The sequence below is a fragment of the Homo sapiens genome, chromosome 3 (assembly GCF_000001405.40).
Source record: "Homo sapiens chromosome 3, GRCh38.p14 Primary Assembly".
NCBI lineage: Eukaryota > Metazoa > Chordata > Mammalia > Primates > Hominidae > Homo > Homo sapiens.
Genome location: NC_000003.12, coordinates 54,807,371 through 54,826,409, shown reverse-complemented (window position 1 = coordinate 54,826,409; position 19,039 = coordinate 54,807,371). Strand labels below are relative to the sequence as shown.

Below are 19,039 nucleotides of genomic sequence, written 5' to 3'. Positions count from 1 at the left end.
GAAGGGATAAACATCTAACATTTTGTTTTTGAACTTCTTGGTAGCACTGATGTACAGGATTGCACAACTGCTCCAGTTTACCCCAGAGGGTCATTTCAGTTGAATCCTTTGGCATGAGATGTCTGGCAGCGCATCCAGAGCCATTCCTTCAGTTCTCATGGAAGTGGGCTACATTTGGGTTTGTAATGGATATATATCCATTAATTGGGGATGTGACCAGTGAGTAACATGACTGGAAAAAGCATCAGGCAGCTGAACATGACCAGACCATTAAATATGTGGCTCAATTTACTAAGAAAAACCAAAAGGCAGTTGCTTCTTTAAAATAATTAATTTTTTAGTTTTAATGTGCACAAACAATACAGGTAGACAAATTTTGTCAGAAAATTCGATTTGTATTGTATCAAAAAAATTTTGCCAAAAAGTAAAGAAAAGCTATGCATATGCACATATGGTATGTGTGTTTTCTCTTGAGTAACTCATCATATTAATCTAGTATATCTTCCACACAGGAAATCCCTTCCTATGAGAACTAATAAAGTCAGATTAAAATCACTGATGATGATTTCACATTGATTTGATATAGACTTCATTTATTATATTTTACATAGATTTGGTTTTCAAATTAGTAACTAAATTGTATTGAATCTGATTTACCTCAGTGTTAAAATGGTGTTCTTGTGTCATCTTTCTCTAATGCAATTAGAAAATAAAATATGTTTATTTCCTGGGTTGCTTAATTCTTTATCTCTTTAAGATACTGGCAGTTGTCCTTTAACTTGTTCTTTAGCTGGCCTCTTCCAAGGCCTTGGCCATAAAGTGTAGATTCATACATTGTTGATTTCAGGAAACATCCAGTGTGTCAAGTGATGGATACAGGTGTTCTAAATCTACCAAGAAATACGGAAGAGACCCCAAAATGAAAACCCAACTCATTGAGTTCAAGATCAACTTTGTGTCAATAAAAATGACCTACAGAATTGTATCTATAAGCAAGGAAACAGAACATTGAGTGTCCTGTGATGTCCCCTTCAAGACCACCCAGGCTAAATACTGGTGATACTGACATTAATATCATGGTATCCCAATTCAGAGGGCTTTGTGAAATAACTTTCCTCGATCCTCTACCTTCCCTTCTGTGTAGAAGGAAGAAGGGTGTTTTTATATCTTCGAGGATGTAAGAACAACTGAGATGAAAACAACTTTAAAAATTTCATTGTTTTTACTCAGATGTTTCCTTAACATTCAAAAGAAAAGGCAGTTTCATTGCAGCAATGTTGTGAGTACAGTTTGTATTGTTTTAGCACCTTAAAAGAGTCATATTTTATAACTGTGCTTGATTTAAATAAATAGAAAACAGTCACATATTTAAATAAATGAGAATTTTTGAAAGAAGACACTGGATTTCTAAGACACTAAGAATTAAGTCTGAAACTAGAAAGCACTGAGATGTAAGGAACTGTAAAATCAATTTTTGGTTTTCAACTTAATAAACACCAAGTTCTTTTTGCCTATTTTTAAAAGAAACCATTTCTGCTTTAACTTTATTAAATGTGTCTGTATTAAACAAGGTATAATGCTGCTAGCATTATTAATAATATTACTGTCCCTGCCATGGCCAACACTACCCCTCATTGAGCATGTGGCGTGGATGGGCCCTGAGCAGGTGCTGCTCCTGTACTCTCAGGAAAATCCCATAAGGGACGTGTCTGTACCCCATTAAAACAAGAAAAACCGAGGCTCAGGACGATGTATCCTGGGTCCATATCCTGGGTCCAAGGTTACCAGTGAGAACTGGCAGGTGGGGCCTCCACTCCATATCCAGCTGACTCAAGTTAGTCTTAAGAGCGATGGGCTCCTTTGCCTCACCTGTAGGAGTGGAATGCGTCCCTTCTGCAATGATGAATGCAATACCAGAGGTTACACAACTTGGTACAACACTCTCCAAATAGCAAGTTGGGCAGATGTCATTCTCACCCCACTTCATTTTTTCCATTTTTAAGCCAAGGTAGTCCTTCCCCCAACCAGAGGTGTGAGGAGGACAGGGAACACCTACTGACTGAGGCTCATGTTGGGTGGGTGACCTCCACGGTGTAACCACACACCTACCATTTTTTGTGGATTTCCCATGCTCAGATCAATGTCGCTCTAAGCATCTGACATGGACTGAGTCTTTGATTAAAGATTGGTAGATCGCCTTTGGTAGAAAATAAGGATTACTGATAAGCTAAGGTACTTTCAGACTTGTCCCACGTAAGACAACCCACTGTTTATAAACCTTTGTCCTTCTGATTATAGCTGTCTGTACCAAGAATCAATGCATGTTATGCATGTGTATTTTTACAACAGAGTTTGGGTTTCCCACTTTTTCATTTGTTTATTTCTTGGGAGAGTTGGGCTTAGCAGACTATTGTTAGGTTAACTCTTGGTAGTCTATTTCATTTAGTGTATTTATGAGTAAAACAATTAGTTCATTACTACAAATATAATCATTTACTTATAAAAATAATGTACGCTCATAATACAGAATTTGAAATATGCAAAAATGTATTAAGAAAACAAAATACATATTTGTTCTCCTACCACTAGGAAATAGCCACTATTAAATATGTCTATGCATTTCTTTCCAATACAGTTTTGTACATCTGTTTGTACACACACGCACACACACACAACAGGAGCATAATGTACATAAAATGTTACACTCTAATTTTAAAATGATGTATTTTCTTACATTATTAAATATCCTTTTGAACTATGGTTTTGTTTATGGCTTCTTAATATTCTGTTTTTTGGAAGTTCAGTGACTTTTTCAACCACTTTCTCATTTCAGGTATTTTGGCTCTTCTTTTCCTCATTATAAATAAAATTGCAAGTCACTGACCAATTTAGGCTAGATTCTGCAAAAGAGGGTTGTTGAGTCAAAGGCTGAAAGTGTGAAAGTTACTGGTATGTAGTGGTATGTTTTATTGAAGGCTTTTATCAATTTTCATGCATAAAAGTGTAAAAGCTAAAAAAAAACTTTTAAAAAAGTTAATAATAAAATGTAATATTGTTTTTACTTTGTTTTTTTCCTGAATAATCAGGAAAAATAGTATATAAAGCATAAAAATAGTACATGAACACGTCAAATGTTCAAATAAATCTGAAAATGGAGTAAACCCTGATTTTTCCCCTTACACACAAGTAGACACACACTATGAGGTTGTTTGATATGAAGAGATTATTTCCTTTCAATAAGAAATGCAAATAGCAGGCTGGGCATGGTGGCTCATACCTGGAATCCCAGCACTTTGGGAGGCTGGGGCAGGTGGATCACCTGAGGTTAGGAGTTCAAGACCAGCCTGGCCAACATGGTGAAACTCTGTCTCTACTAAAAATACAAAAATTAGCTGGGTGTGGTGGCAGGTGCCTGTAATCCCAGCTACTCGGGAGGCTGAGGCAAGAGAATCGCTTGAACCCAGGAGGCAGAGGTTGCAGTGAGCCGAGATCGCGCAATTGCACTCCAGCACAGGCAACATGAGCTAATCTCTGTCTCAAATTTAAAAAGAAAGAAAGAAAGAAAGAAAGAAAGAAAAGAAAGAAAGAAAGAAAGAAAGAAAGAAAGAAAGAAAGAAAGGAAAGAAAGAAAGAAAGAAAGAAAGAAAGAAAGAAAGAAAGAAAGAAAGAAAGAAAGAAAATAAAAAAGAAATGCAAATAGCATCTTGCTTCCAAACAGAGCTCCATGACCCCCAGGAACCCACACGTAGCTTCGGCTGGAGTGCCTATATGCTGTCCTGCTGGCTATCCTGCCATTAGGAAGCCATGCACTTTGAATCTGAGGGTCTTGCATTCATTTATTTCAGGCCTCAAGTGCAAAGTTGGATAGGGCCATGGAAAAGGGGTCAGCCAAGACTCACATGGGTACACTTGCAAAGTTCACCTCCTTCCTCAGCAGCAGAGCAGCCTGTCTGGGCTGCCACAGACACACTCATACAGAACTATGGCAGAGAACAAAATACTTAGTTATATAACCATTGTTAGGGTTGGGCAATATGCCATCACTCAGATTTCCACAGAGCCTCTCACGCTGGCTACAGGAAAAGCTGAAGTGACTAGACTTGCTCTCTGGTTTCTAGCACCATAGCCTTATTCATAAAATAGATCCAATAATTTAAACTGTAGTCCACTGTGCTGCTATCATTTTTCAGACTGTGAGTATATCAATCTTAACACCCCCGGCTTGGGAATGCATATAAAAAGTACCTTACATGTTACTATAAAATAGTAAATGATAAGGAGAAAAATAGGGTTTTCAAAACAAGATGTAATAGTTTACATGCAAAGCAAAGTACAGGTAAAAGCAAATGAGTCATAAACCAGAACCAAATGTAAATAGTTATCAGTTCTCAGTTTTGCACTTCATTTGCATCAGTTTAGATGGTTATATAACTGTAATGAAACACTGAAATCACTAGACCTGCAGTTCTACAAAAACAGCAGCTTTGCAAACTTTCAATTTTCAATTTTCATTGACAGTTAATTCAACTGTTCGAAGTATAGAAGTTAAATGAGGCAAAGAATGATAAATGATGCCTCGCAATTGCTGAAATCTGATTACCCTGAGATAAGAGCTAGGCCAAATTCTACTTGTACAAATTTGTACCTAAGGAATGAGAAAGAGAGAGAGAGAAAGAGAGAGAGAGAGAGAGAGGAAAGAAGGAAGGAAGGAAAGAAAGAAAGAAAGAAAGAAAGAAAGAAAGAAAGAAAGAAAGAAAGAAAGAAAGAACGAAAGACTCTAGAAAAACGAAGGCTTCCATTTATTCCTCCAAAATATAATATAAACAAGGAAACAAAGAAAATGCAAATAGATTCAGGATGCCGTTTGCACTCAGGGGGAGAAATTAATAAAACAGTTCCATTCTGAAAAAGAGACCAAAAATCGACCTCCATTTAAGAAGCTAATTTATGCACTCCTGAGTCCTCATACAAGTTAAGCAGCACAGAAAATCACAGCAGGCATAGAACAACAGATCTTGAACCCTGCTGTGTTTGTTCAAGGAGGCAAGTTAAGCTGTTCCTAACAGGAAACAAAACACGCAGTCGGGCTATTAAACAGGGATCATTTTGCCATACTGCGCAGCCCTGAATGCATCAATTGCTGTTCCAAACAGGATTAGAGATGTGGTTTGCTTTAACTATGGTTTTGTGAAAAATGCTTATGCCTACTCAGAATTCTCAGGTTGATATTAACTAATACGGTGTCAGGAAAGACATAGAGCACCTAGGAAACCTTTAAGAAATGTTCTTTTGCAAATTCCAAAGTTGTGTGGATGCAGCAGAAAATGAAGGGAAAGGGTACCAGAGTCTGGACACGTTCATCCACATAAATAGCCACGTTTGGAACTCCCTGAAGAGTATTTTTGACTTTAAACATTCGGGCCCACTCTACGTTGATTAAACCTACATTGATTAAATTAATCCTGCAGTGAATAACTGATGTTTAGCTCCTATAGACAGAATCTACGTGAAGAAAAATGCAGCTAGAAAAAGGGACTATTTTGTTCAATAGTATTACTATTGAACATATATTTGTAAATGGCTTTGGGTAATTCTGCTATGTTATTATCATAAAATCAGATCTCTCGGACACTTCTGTAGAAGTAAAGAAGAATTTTTAAAAAGCAGACCTTTCTTACACATAGACCTCTCTTCATTGTTGAATTCAGGGACAATCAATCCACCCAAGAAACTGGTCCAATTTCCACCCAGAAGAATGAATTTGTGACGCCTTGAAAGTGCTGCATCTGTATTGCTACATATTTTTTAGCCAAAACCTCAGGACACTACCTCCATATTTGCTAAGAATATTTAATATTTATCAGGTTCATCACCAGTTAGTGCCACTCCAATTTTATATCAAGGCTTGAAATTTATAGAGTCTAGGAATTATCTTAGAGATGCTTAAGAACCACAGAAAAAATAATATTTTTTTTCAAACTGTTGTTCTAAAACATTGTCATAAAGGACTAGAAGTTTTGGAAGACCCTCAAAATATTAGAATCATGAAAACCATAACTTACAGACAACAGTCATTAATGGCTGCTACACATAAGAGGGACACCCAAATGGGACATTTTTAGTTGCAGATCAGCCAAGAGATTTAAATAAGTATGTTTACAGAGACGTAACTATTTAAAATATTTATAGAGAAAATAGTTGCAGATGATACAAAGGCAGAGTCCAACAAAAACACAGCGCAAATGCAGACACCATATGGTACAACGTATGCGCTCATGACCTCATGTGAAAAGTAGGCCAAAGCTGTAGTGGCTGGGGGTGCCTCTCTTTCACCCCTGGAACAACAAACTCAGGGGTTTGGAAAGAGCTCATTAGAATCATGGCCACAGATGAGTGAAATCTATGGGTAATGTCAAAGGCATTAGGAAGAAACCTCTCAAAACAATTCTCCCGACAAATTTTTGCTTTGTTGGGGTTTCAAGACCAATCTCCATTTCTTTCTGACTACATGAAGAAGGTGCAGTCAGTTTAAGCACACAGGTTTTGTGTGTGTGTGTGTGTTTTTTGAGGTGGAGTCTCACCCTGTCACCAGGCTGGAGTGCAGTAGTGTGATCTCGGCTCACTGCAACCTCCACCTCCCAGGTTCAAGCAATTCTCCTGCCCCAGCCTCTGGATTAGCTGGGACTATAGGTGTGCGCCACCACGCCCGGCTAATTTTTGTATTTTTAGAAGAGACGTGGTTTCACCATGTTGGCCAGGATGGTCTCGATCTCCTGACCTCGTAATCCACCTGCCTCGGCCTCCCAAAGCACTAGGATTACAGGCGTGAGCCACCATGCCTGGCCCAACAACAGAGTTTCTAATGAAATGGGGGGAGCACCCATACCTGCTGGGCTCTTTTGCCCTCTCCCAGTTATTCATTAGGCTTGAGTCAGAATCACAAAACATTGGGCAGAGGTCCCAGACCACCCCTCAGATATGACTGCTCTCTTGATGTGCTATGAAGCACCAGGGGTCAAGTCAAGCCAAGTCGTAATAAGAACTCTATATTTTGAGGGTCTACCATATGCCAGGCTCTGTGCGAGGAACAGGTAAGAGAAGTAACTTTCAAAACAAAAGTGGAAAGTTAGTTTATCATTCTCCTTAAGTAAATAAAAACATGTAGGCTTAGAGAGGTTAAGTAACTTACCCATGGTAACAAATGGATGAAGGCCAAAATGGAACCACCACATTCCTTTGCTGGTCAAGCAGCAAGACAGTAAATCTAAGGAAAGCTGACACTTGCAAGAACCTCATTCTTCTGGCAAAGGCCTCTTGCAAGTGTCACTGAGGTAATACTGGGGAAGGGATGGGAAGGGGAGTTGGGGGCAGGGATGCTAATACATTACCAGGTGGAGACTTGCAGCCTTTGGGAGGATGCCTTCAATCTATGGTGCACCTCTCCCTCAACTCCTCTTACCCTCCAGCCTAGATACCTGAGGTTTACGTTCAAACTCCTTCTTCAAAGAGCTGAATTTCCCGCAAACTACCCCCAAAGTGTTCTGAAACCATGTCGCATAGATCTCTTAATATTTTGTAAGGTAAGTGCCTTTCTCTATTTTAACAGAAAAAAGACAATTTCTAGCCATGATAGGAACAGAAGGCAAAGCTATTCCTTTTCACATAGGGCTATAGAACAAGTCCCTTGGGATGTCTGACATCATTCGGAGACAGGGAAAAAAATTAGGAAGCCAGCTGAGGTACCTTCCTTGACTTTTATATGACCACAATAATATGCTCCACTTTGCAGGGCATGTGATGTGAGTCAATATATGATGACAGAAGAAGTGAATGCAATGAAGTAAGTGCTACTGAAGTATTATATAGCCCAGCAACATTTGTTCTTCTGTATTCTGTGTTGCTTTGTTTTGAACTTTGTTTTACAATTCTATGGCTGGCTGGGCGCAGTGGCTCACTGTATCCCAGCATTTTGAGGCCGAGGCAGGCAGATCACCTAAGGTCAGGAATTCAAGATCAGCCTGGCCAACATGGCAAAACCCTGTCTCTACTAAAAATACAAAAATAAGCCAGGTGCGGTGGCGCATGTCTGTCCCAGCTATTCAGGAGGCTGAGGCAGGAGAATCGATTGAACCCGGGAGGTGGAGATTGCGTGAGCCGAGATTGTTGCACTCCAGCCTGGGTGACATAGTGAGACTCTGTCTCAAAAAATAAAATAAAACAAATTTCTACGGCTGATGGCACCTCCAATTCATGAATTATTTTCTGTAACAGGAATACTTTGTATATGGATCAGTGGAAATTTGATGAATAAATGTCAATAAGTGGAAGCTGGTCCATTTTTAGGCAGAGAATTTGTGAAGTCTCTCTATCAAAAAAATTCAAATGTAGGTAATTAAGAAAGCATGTCCTATCAAAGACATTGAGCCTTCCAAACAATCTGGAATTCTGACCATTTATTTACCCTGGAAGCTGTTGTGAGCCTTGAATACTTTAACTTTTAATGAAGTATTCCGTCCTTTTGTGATGGCATTGAAGTGTAATCAAACATTACCACAAGCCAAGTCACACACTAGCATGCCTTGCCTTGTTTAAATACCTCAAATATATCTGAGTAATTGTGTAATGATTTCTAGGCCTCTGGTTGTCCATATGGTCTGAACAGACTGTCTTTAGTAGAGCAGTTGTGCTCTCTCTCAATGAGAAGGAACCAAATCACCTCTGCTCTAAACTGGAGAGCTTAGGAGATGCTGTTTAAATTTCAGGGGGGTGCCCTACCTTGACTCTTGAAACACAACATCTGGCCCCCAGAAATTGCTGTGTCTTCCAGAATTTGTGAAACACACAAGAACAATGCAGCAGGCACTGAGTGACATATTTTCTGCCATAAATGTCCTTAGGATACAACGACATGCTATGAGGGTGACACAGCAAAGCCATCACTGCAACCACATGGAGTCTTTCTGGACACAGAACATTCTAGATGGTGGAACTAGATCATCTCAGACAATGAGGACCAGTGAAAGGGTCTGGCCATTGGCAAGAAATCTGCTCTAATGGTCTCTGGGATGATGAAGCTAGCAAAGGAGCTGCTGATTTTTACAATTAATAAAATCCAATAAGTTTTCAGCGATTTGGCTTAGGAGCCCCAAATTTAAACTTGGTTACCACGCCTTACTAATTATTCACATTATTTGTCTCCCTAAAAATTACCTCAGAGAAGGCCTGGAATGCTACATTGGAAGGAATGTGTCAAACTTATTCTTGACCTATTATTTGATAATTCTTAGAGAAACAGTTGGGCACAGATTCACCTCCCAATCACTGGCCACTATAGGGTCCTTTGGAGGGACTAACTCAGCAAAGGAGCAGTGGACAACTGAGTCTGCTGGCCTCTCTGTTCCTGCCCAACTTCAGGTTTCTGAAGCTGTGGAAAAAAACCATTTCACTGGTCATGAACAGTGTCAAATGTACAACACCATGGAGGCATGCATGACTCGTGAGTTCTGGGGGTGACTGGAATGTGACAGAAGAGAATTTACCTTTTGTGCCTGAGGGAGCTGAAGGGGGAAAACAAAACAAAACAAAAAAGAAAAAAGTTGATCATTATATAAGTAATTAATGGTAAAGCTTCATTTTCTTGCCATTTGCAAATGGAGAAACCAAAATGGGGAGACAAGTGAAAAAGAGGTAAAGCAAGTTATTTTTCAAAATGAAGCTACAGTGCTGATTATTTGACCTGCTTTCTGAATTTGTGGTATCAACAGATAATCTACGAGCTTTCCAGCATGTGTTTTGGGAATCACCACATCCAAAGCAGTTGGTAAACTCCTATAAAGCTGGAACCGAGGCTCTTCTGCCCAGTGATCCGAAGGGCACAATTCCATGACCCAGTTCCTTCTTCCTTTGACCAGCAGTTTTCAACTGGATGAGGGCCATCTGGAGACATTTGGGGTTGTCAAAACTAGGGGGTGAAAGGGAAGGGAGCGAGAGCTGTTGGCCTCTAGAGGGTAGAGGCCAAGGGACACTGTGGTACATCTTACAATGCACAGGACAGTCCCCCACAAAAACAAACTGCCCAGCCCATATATCCATAGTGCCAAAGTTGAGAAACCCTGCTGTATATAAAGGTAAGACTGTTAGAAAAATGCTTGTTTTTAAAGTCAATTTTTCTTGCTTTGTAGCACATTAACTGTTCCCTTTATTGATGGTTAAGGAAGTATGCACCAGGATTTGTGCATTTAAAGTAAAGCTGATGTTCTAAGAACAAGGAAAAGGCAGTCAGTCAATCCATAAAATAAGACATAACAGCTTTCCCAATGGCACAGGCGAGGAACTGAAATTAATAGGTATGTGGAAAAAGATCAACATTTACGAGACATATTTGTCTATATTTCTGTGTTGAGAGTATTAGGCTACGGTTTAATTCCACAGTATTATGACTGCCATTATAGCATGCAGTGTTTTTGAAAGCATCTTTCTAATCTGGAATGGAATTAACATGATCCATGTATTAAATACCCAATCTAAGAATTACATCATTACGAAGATTTACTTCTCAACATAGGGACTAACATTTATCGAGTGTGAACTTGTCACCAGGCACTGTATTACGTCTTTGCATTATCCCATTAAATCACAACAACCCAATGCTAGGTATCCCTGTTTTACAGAGAAAAACTAAAATGGAACTTAAAGGTTAAGTAATTATACAACGTCCCATAGATAAACAATCATAGGACTGTGCTGCCTGACTTTAGAACATACTAATTCAACTCAATTCACACATAAATAAAGACCCCAAACACTTGGGAATTGTGACAGTAGACTTTCTCTCTGTCTCTCTAGAGCTTATGACATCAGAAGTGCTAGAAAATGCAAAGCAACTAAATGAGACATCTTAAGGTCTCCACTTGAATCATCAGACTTTCCCATTCTTTTTACTCTGGGAAGAATGCTTTCTCTTCTGATAAAAGAAGACCAGGGCTCTCTTAAACTTGCCCTAAACCCCTGCCCCTGTGGATGGAGCCCACAAAGAGTAGAACCGAACAAACAAGATGTTTTGGATCTCAGAGATGTCTCCAAAATGGTATTGAGAATGTCTATGAAAAGCAGACTCCAACTTCTCCAACACTCAATTTCCAACACTTTTATCTTATACGGGTCTCCCAATTTAAGAAGACGGAAATATGAGGATGTTTTCCTGATTTGTTCCTCCTACTTATGGCTGGAACTATTCAGAAAGGAAGCTCATAAGCTCCTCCAGTGCTTTTCAAGAGTTCAGAAAAAAATAGACCACGAGATGAGAAACTGAGTTTAAAATGAGGAATCACTTTTAAAAAAGCTTCTCAAATATTAAACATCTTTTCACACAACAGGAAACAAACCTTGGATACATGAACATTGTGGAATGAAAAATGTATATTTTCTTAGGAAAGTGTTTGTGTCGAATCGCAGCTATGTCCTGTGAAAGCAAGGGGCCATGAGTATGACAAATGTTTGATGGACTGCAAAATAAATACCAAAGTGAAGCCCTGCACAAACTGCTGGACTTTGCAGGCCTCTCTGACAGGAGAGCTGTCCTTTCTCTCTCTCTCTATTTTATCTTTGTTGAGCAGGAAACACCTCTTTTTGACTCATCCATTTAAGCATATGGGAAGAAATCCTGGGAAGGAAAATGACAGACCAGGCCTTTGTGGTGATGTCCTCAGTTTAAGACTGCCCTCATCCTCCCCACAAAACATATATTTTCCTCAAGAAATAACTTACGAGAACAAAGAGCAACTTTCCTACTGGAGCTTTTAAATAATGTAAATTACAGCTTGTGATGCCCTCACCAGGCTGGACCTCTCTGAAGGAGTCTCAGGGTAGAATAGCACATATTTAGATCAGATCCTCTGTGGCCACAGATGCTGCTGCTGGGAGCTGGCTCCCCAACACATTGTCACCCAGCATTCATGACTTGCGTGCAGGGCCCTGCCCTAGGGGCCAGACCAGCCAGATACCTGCTCTGCTTTGGCCTTTGACTCAAGTCTTGAGGCATATGCCTTCCAGCCTCTGGCCAGTGTGCTTGCCTGTAAAGTGGAATGATAGAGAGAGGGCTGGGGAAAGGCCAGGTCTTGGATGGCCGCTAGGTTTTACCTTGAGACCCAGCTCTAACTAATTAGCAACGGCTGGATGAAGGGCTATGTTGAGAAGGATTCTGAAGTCATGCCTGAGTTTCACTGGAAAGAATTTTATGACCAGCCAGGTGCAGTGGCTCACACCTGTGATCCCAGAACTTTGGGAAGTCAAGTTGGGCAGATTGCTTGAGTCCAGGAGTTTGAGACCAGCCTGGGCAACATAGTGAAACTCCATCTCTACAAAAAATACAAAAAAAATTAGCTGGGAATGGTGGCACATGGCTGTAGTCCCAGCTACTCGGGAGGCTGAGGTGGGGAGAATCACCTGAGCCCAGGAGGTTGAGGCTGCTGTGAGCCCTGATAATGCCACTGCACTCCAGCCTGGGCGACAGAGTGAGATCCTGTCTCAAAAAAAAAAAAAAAAAAAGAATATTATAACCAAATAGCAGAATTTGTTATAAATAAGAAATGGCAAAACATTTCCCTGCGCTTTTTTTCTATAGTTCTGAGCACAACTCTAGTGACTATGTAATTTTTTCAAGTAATGCCTTTCTATCCTGCTAGGTCACAAACTCCATGAGGGCAGAGAAGACATCTTCCCCATATGTACGTGTGAAGTCCTCTAACCTGTGACTGGTACTTCCCTTGTTAAATAAGCTACCTTATTACTAGGATATGCCCAGAGTTGATGCCAGGGAAAGATAATCGGGGTAACTGCCTTGAATCCTTGAATCAACACCCCCCACCACCATGTTAATCACCCAAGCTGATGGCCTTCAAGAGAAAAATATATCTGCTAGAGGAATAGATTTGAAACTCACATTCCCACATGCCTGGTATAGATGTCTGTCTATGAGTGATGTCTCAGTGACCCCTGGATATGCATAAAACCAGCCTGGGCACTTCTCATCATCATGAGGCTCCAGATGAGGTCACATCTCTTCCTCAACACACCGGGGAGATGTTTTCTTCTTCAAAGCCACCTTGTCAGGCATTGCCAACCAGGCTCTGCCTTGCTGGGTCTATTTCCTCATTTACTCCATGAGGGGTCTGGACAGGCAGCATTGGGTTCCTTCCTGGCCCACACCGCAGACTGTAGGATTCTCTGTATAACTGAATACATCCTCAAGTCATTTTTCCAAAAGAAGGTTAAAGAAAAAAGTTGTGGTGTGCTGTGGGTTTACACACTCCTGAGAAAAAGCTGGGTGCAGGATACATTTCAGGTGACACTTCACATTCAAACATGGAGAATGTGTATTCAGAAGGGGATGAAGGAGAGGAAATGATGAAGATAAAGGTGACAGCAATAACAGAAATAGTCACTGTTGATTGGACTTTTTCCTTAAACCAGGGACCTGGCTAAATGCTTGATCAGTTTTAGCTCTTTTGCTTTTTGTAGTGAATCTCTGGATTAGATATTAGTATCTTCTCAGTTTACAGGTGAGGAAACAGACAATATTTAGAATGGTTAAGTATCTCACCAAGGTCACCCCAGTCAGGAAATGTTCCTGTTGAAAGTCAAGGACAAGGCTCTGTGTGGACCCACGTCTGCTCCAACCAGTGCTACTTCTCACACGACCACACAATAGCAGCACAAACCTACACCCCCAAAGGACTTGGGGACCTCATGGGCCATTCCATCTGGGCATCACCCAGAAGAGAAAGCAGGGATGAGAAATCCTGGCACGACTCCTTATGGAAGAGTCTGGATGGAGGACAGAGAACCCAGCCACCATGGTTTTCAATATGTGGTGTATCAGGTGGATGGTGCAACATGAAGACTGTCCGTGCTCTCTCTGGTCACAGACATTTGTTCTGTCCTCTCATCCTGGAGCTCTTCCTAAGACCCCTCTCCACTTGCCTGGCAAACACCTATTTCTCTGGTCAGTTGTCTGTGTCTCAAAGAAGACTTGTTTACCCTCTCTTGTCATATGCTCTTTTCGCAGGCCTTCCTAGTACCACATACCTGCAATTGGTAGCAAAGTTATTGCCATGCTGCTTTTCTTTTTCAGTACCAGAAACCCTAATTTTAGCCAAGCTTAGCTAAATGACTCTATTAAAGATATAAGCAGTTAAATGGCTTCAGTCGTGGCCAATGAGGTATGCATAAATGTGGCTTTTCCAGATAGTGTCTTTAAAAGGACTCCCTCCATCCTACTGCCAGGAAGGTGAATGTGATGACTAGAGCTCTAGCAGTCATTCTGGCCTATGAGGTTATCTTAAGGCTAACAGCCATGCACTAGGATATTGAAGACAGCAGTAATGACAGGTGATTATGACAGCTGTGACATGCTATCCACCATTTGAAGTGCTTTACCTATATTAACTTACTGAAAACTCACAGTAATCTTATTAGGTAAGCTCTATTATTACTCTAATTCTGCAGATGTTGAAACTACAAGGTCACAAAGCCAGAGAGCAATAAAGACAGAATTTGAGAAGGAAGGCCGGTGACCAGACTATTGAATGGTCTAGATAAGAACTGACAGAGGCCGGGCATGGTGGCTCATGCCTGTGCTCCCAGCACTTTGGGAGGCCGAGGTGAGCAGATCACCCGAGGTCAGGAGTTCGAGACCAGCATGGCCAACATGGCGAAACCCTGTCTCTACTAAAAATACAAAAAAAATTAGCTGGGCATGGTGGAGTGTGCCTGTAATCCCAGCTACTTGGGAGGCTGAAGCAGGAGAATCGCTTGTACCTGGGAGGCGGAGGTTGCAGTGAGCTAACATCACACCACTGCACTCCAGCCTGGGTGACAGAGTGAGATGCTGTCTCAAAAAAAAAAAAAAAAAAAAAAAAAAAAAAAAAAAAAAAAAAAAAAAAAAGAACTGAGGGAGAACAGGATCAGCACACTGGTGGTGTGGAGGCAGCAGGCAATAGTCTGACCCCAGGTAGAGTTGAGAATCGAGATGATAGCCTGGATCATGATAGAAGAGACATAAAAGATGCGGCCAAGGTTGGTCCTTGATAAATGCAAAAACAGAGCTGCCATTTACTGAGAAGATGACTATGGGAGAGGCATACTGAGAAGATGAGTATGGGAGAAGCACAGTTGAGGAAAAACACTAAGAGCTCAGTTTTGTCCAAAATTAAGAAAAGTTCAAGATGTCTCTTAGGATTGCAGGCAGAGGTGTAGGGTAGGCAGCTGGAAATATGAAGCTCATGTCCCGGGAGGAGGCCTGAGCTTGGTTACTGTCTGCACGTAGATGAGGTTACCGAAGGGGTGAGTGTAGGCAGAGGACAGCGAGAGCCCAGGACTCAATCGGGGACATCCCACCAGGGAGAGCCCATGTGATGAGATGGGACCAGCGCAGGCAACCTGTGAGGAACAATAGGTGAGGCACAAAGGAGATGTGAGGAAGAGATCTGAGGCCCTGATAAAGGTATTTCAAAAAGAAAAATACCCACCGAGCAGAGGGACATGTTTTTGTTTTAATTCTCCTAATTCACTTCATTTCTACCTCAGAGTTTCACACAGACCCATGGGGGTGATTGAAGGGACATCTAGTGCTCTAGCTCAACGAAGTTCCAAACTTGAGTGGACCCTTTTTCAAACATAAAACTCCAATTAAAGATCTATTGATCAAAACAACACATTTCACTGTGAAATATGTAAAGACCAAATAAGAAACAAAGTATTTTCCTGCCAACTGTGTAAAACAAAAAAAGCCTGGCCTACATATCTTTATTCCATTTGTAAAACTGGCCCTTTGCCTCGGGCCTCATGAATGAATGATCAATCCCTGCTTGCTGCTGAGGTTCTGTGTGTTCATTTTTTTCCCTGTGGATGCTTGCATGTATAATCTTCCATTCTTCTTCATTAAGCAATGTGGATAAAGATCCGCACTCTACTATAGAGCAAAGAAAGTTCTGTTAAATGGCTCAAACTCTAAAACCTATGCCAAGGGGTCTCTGATGAGCTAAGATTTGGCAGTGCAGGTTGTCTCACATCCTTCCACTTCTGCCACCCCACACCATGCCACCACTGCTGCTCATCTGGTCTCTCCAGGTTCACTCCAGCCCTCCAATCCAATCCTTCCTTTACATGGCACCCAGAATGATCTGAAAGTATAAGCCTGGTACTTGGCAGCCTGTGCTTCAAATTTCACTTGCCTTAAAGCCTTTGTGGGGCTCTTTCCTCTGGTTGGTTAATGCTCTGCCCCGACAACTTCACGTCAATTCTCTGACTACCCCACTTCCCTGCCTCACTGATTCCCTACCCATGCGTCAGATCTCAGCTCTGATGGCACCTCTTCTGGCAGGTGTTATTATCTCTACCCCAAGTGTCTTTCTATAATATCATCTTGTTTATTCCTGTCTTAGCATTTGTTGCACTGTGTAATCTTCCTCTTTACTTGTTTAGGTTTTTTGATGACCTCCATATAAGATCTACCGAGGGACTGTATCTATCTTATTCACTGTTGTATTCCTAGGGACTATACCTATGCCTGGCCCTTGGTAAGAATTCAGTGTATATTTGTTGAAAAGAAGGAAGGAGGGAAAGAGGGAAATGGGAAAGAAAGAAAAAAAGATCAGGGAGGGAGGGAGAGAAAAAGAAAAAAGGAAGGGGGGAGAGAGGAAGGAGGAAAGGGAAGGAAGGGAGGAAGAGAGGAACAAAGGAAGGGAGGGAGGGGAAGAAAGAATGAAAGAAAGAAAGAAAGAAAGAAGGAAGGGGCCGGGCGCGGTGGCTCACGCCTGTAATCCCAGCACTTTGGGAGGCCGAGGCGGGTGGATCATGAGGTCAGGAGATCGAGACCATCCTGGCTAACAAGGTGAAACCCCGTCTCTACTAAAAATACAAAAAATTAGCCGGGCGCGGTGGCGGGCGCCTGTAGTCCCAGCTACTCGGGAGGCTGAGGCAGGAGAATGGCGTGAACCCGGGAAGCGGAGCTTGCAGTGAGCCGAGATTGCGCCACTGCAGTCCGCAGTCCGACCTGGGCGACAGAGCGAGACTCCGTCTCAAAAAAAAAAAAAAAAAAGAAAGAAGGAAGGAAGGAAAGAAAGAGAGAAGAAAGAGATAAAGGAAGGAAGGAAGAAAGGAAGAGAGAGGGAGAGAAAGAGAGAAATGAGAGCAGAAGGAAAGGAAGGAGAAGAAAGAAGGAAGAAAGGAAGAAGCAATGAAAGAAGGAGGGCCTTGGAGCTTGGTAGACCACCTTTCAAATACTACCTCTACCACTTAGTAGCCATAAGAACCTGGACAACAATATAGCGTCTCTGAACTCTAGAGGTCTCATCCGTAAAACAGTAGTAATAACATTATTTCATGAGATTAATGTGAGGATTAAACGAGCTAATGCATATTGAGTCTTTACGAAAACAACTGGCCCATAACAGTTTGCTGTTTTCATCCTTTGATTTCGTAACCTCCAGAGTACTTAGGGCTGGCTCCAATCCGATAGCGTATGAGAGGTTACAGTAATCACCAACCTCATGGTCCACAGGTGACCCTACAGACCTGGTATCAGAACCCCTCTCACTGAGCCACTGCTGCATCACAGTGGGTTAGTGAAGAAATGATAGGGTCTGAGCAAGGTACATTAGGCAGAGTGTGACTCCTATCTCTACTAATAGTGTTATTACTACAATTTTACAGGTGAGAAATCCAGAACACTTATCTCTTTATGTTCATTATCTAACCCCTTTCCTTCAGTGTCCCTTGCCCTAGGTAAGAGGCCAAGCCCCATGATCTGGACATTACCCAGACCCAAGCCATCAACTCAACTCATCGCTTTCCCTCGGCCACAGCAACTGGCTCAGGGTAGACGTGTGACCTAATCTAGTCTAATCGAGACTTTTCATTTACACCCCTCTCCCACTTTTCCCCTGCTAGCTTTCCTCTTGACTACAATCTGTGAGGAAAGACCTAGAACTAAACTACTGGGGAAAGATCATCAAATAGGCCTAAGAGTGAAGTCAACAGCAGGGAGGGCATGGCAGTGACATGGCAGAGCTCAGCACCCATGGTGTCTTCTGACCCCACATCCATGAGACCTAGCTTCTAATGGCTTTCAGCTCAGTATAAGCTATTGGGGCATCTGGAGTGAACTGAATTTTTCTTACTATTTTTTATTTTTTAAAAATTATTATTATACTTTAAATTGTAGGGTACATGTGCACAATGTGCAGGTTAGTTACATATGTATACATGTGCCATGCTGATGTGCTGCACCCATTAACTCATCATTTAGCATTAGGTATATCTCCTAATGCTATCCCTCCCCCCTCCCCCCACCCCACAACAGGCCCCAGAGTGTGATGTTCCCCTTCCTGTGTCCATGTGTTCTCATTGTTCAATTCCCACCTATGAGTGAGAATATGCGGTGTTTGGTTTTTTGTTCTTGTGATAGTTTACTGAGAATGATGATTTCCAATTTCATCCATGTCCCTACAAAGGACATGAACTCATCATTTTTTATGGCTGCATAGTATTCCATGGTGTATATGTGCCACATTTTCTTAATCCAGTCTATCATTGTTGGACATTTGGGTTGGTTCCAAGTCTTTGCTATTGGGAATAGTGCCACAATAAACATATGTGTGCATGTGTCTTTATAGCAGCATGATTTATAGTCCTTTGGGTATATAACCAGTAATGGGATGGCTGGGTCAAATGGTATTTCTAGTTCTAGATCCCTGAGGAATCGCCACACTGACTTCCACAATGGTTGAACTAGTTTACAGTCCCACCAACAGTGTCAAAGTGTTCCTATTTCTCCACATCCTCTCCAGCACCTGTTGTTTCCTGACTTTTAAATGATTGCCATTCTAACTGGTGTGAGATGGTATCTCATTGTGGTTTTGATTTGCATTTCTCTGATGGCCAGTGATGGTGAGCATTTTTTCATGTGTTTTTTGGCTGCATAAATGCCTTCTTTTGAGAAGTGTCTGCTCATGTCCTTCGCCCACTTTTTGATGGGGTT

At 41.5% G+C, this 19,039-nt stretch overlaps 1 protein-coding gene across 1 annotated transcript in view, besides 1 other annotated feature; it reads right to left on the bottom strand.

Annotated features, from left to right (window-relative positions):
- CACNA2D3 (calcium voltage-gated channel auxiliary subunit alpha2delta 3) overlaps nt 1-19,039 on the bottom strand; it is a 952,006-nt gene that overhangs the window by 248,148 nt on the left and 684,819 nt on the right. Inside the window, exon 14 of the mRNA NM_018398.3 lies at nt 9,540-9,557. Coding sequence (NP_060868.2) covers nt 9,540-9,557 — 18 coding nt within the window. The remainder of the gene's footprint in view (nt 1-9,539; nt 9,558-19,039) is intronic.
- Nucleotides 4,730-5,433: an enhancer, noted in NCBI's record as "OCT4-NANOG hESC enhancer chr3:54855004-54855707 (GRCh37/hg19 assembly coordinates)". NCBI's record gives its function as "activates a minimal SCP1, AML or CMV promoter by ChIP-STARR-seq in naive and primed H9 embryonic stem cells {active_cell/tissue: H9 hESC(naive and primed)}" and the evidence as "EXISTENCE:reporter gene assay evidence [ECO:0000049][PMID:30033119]".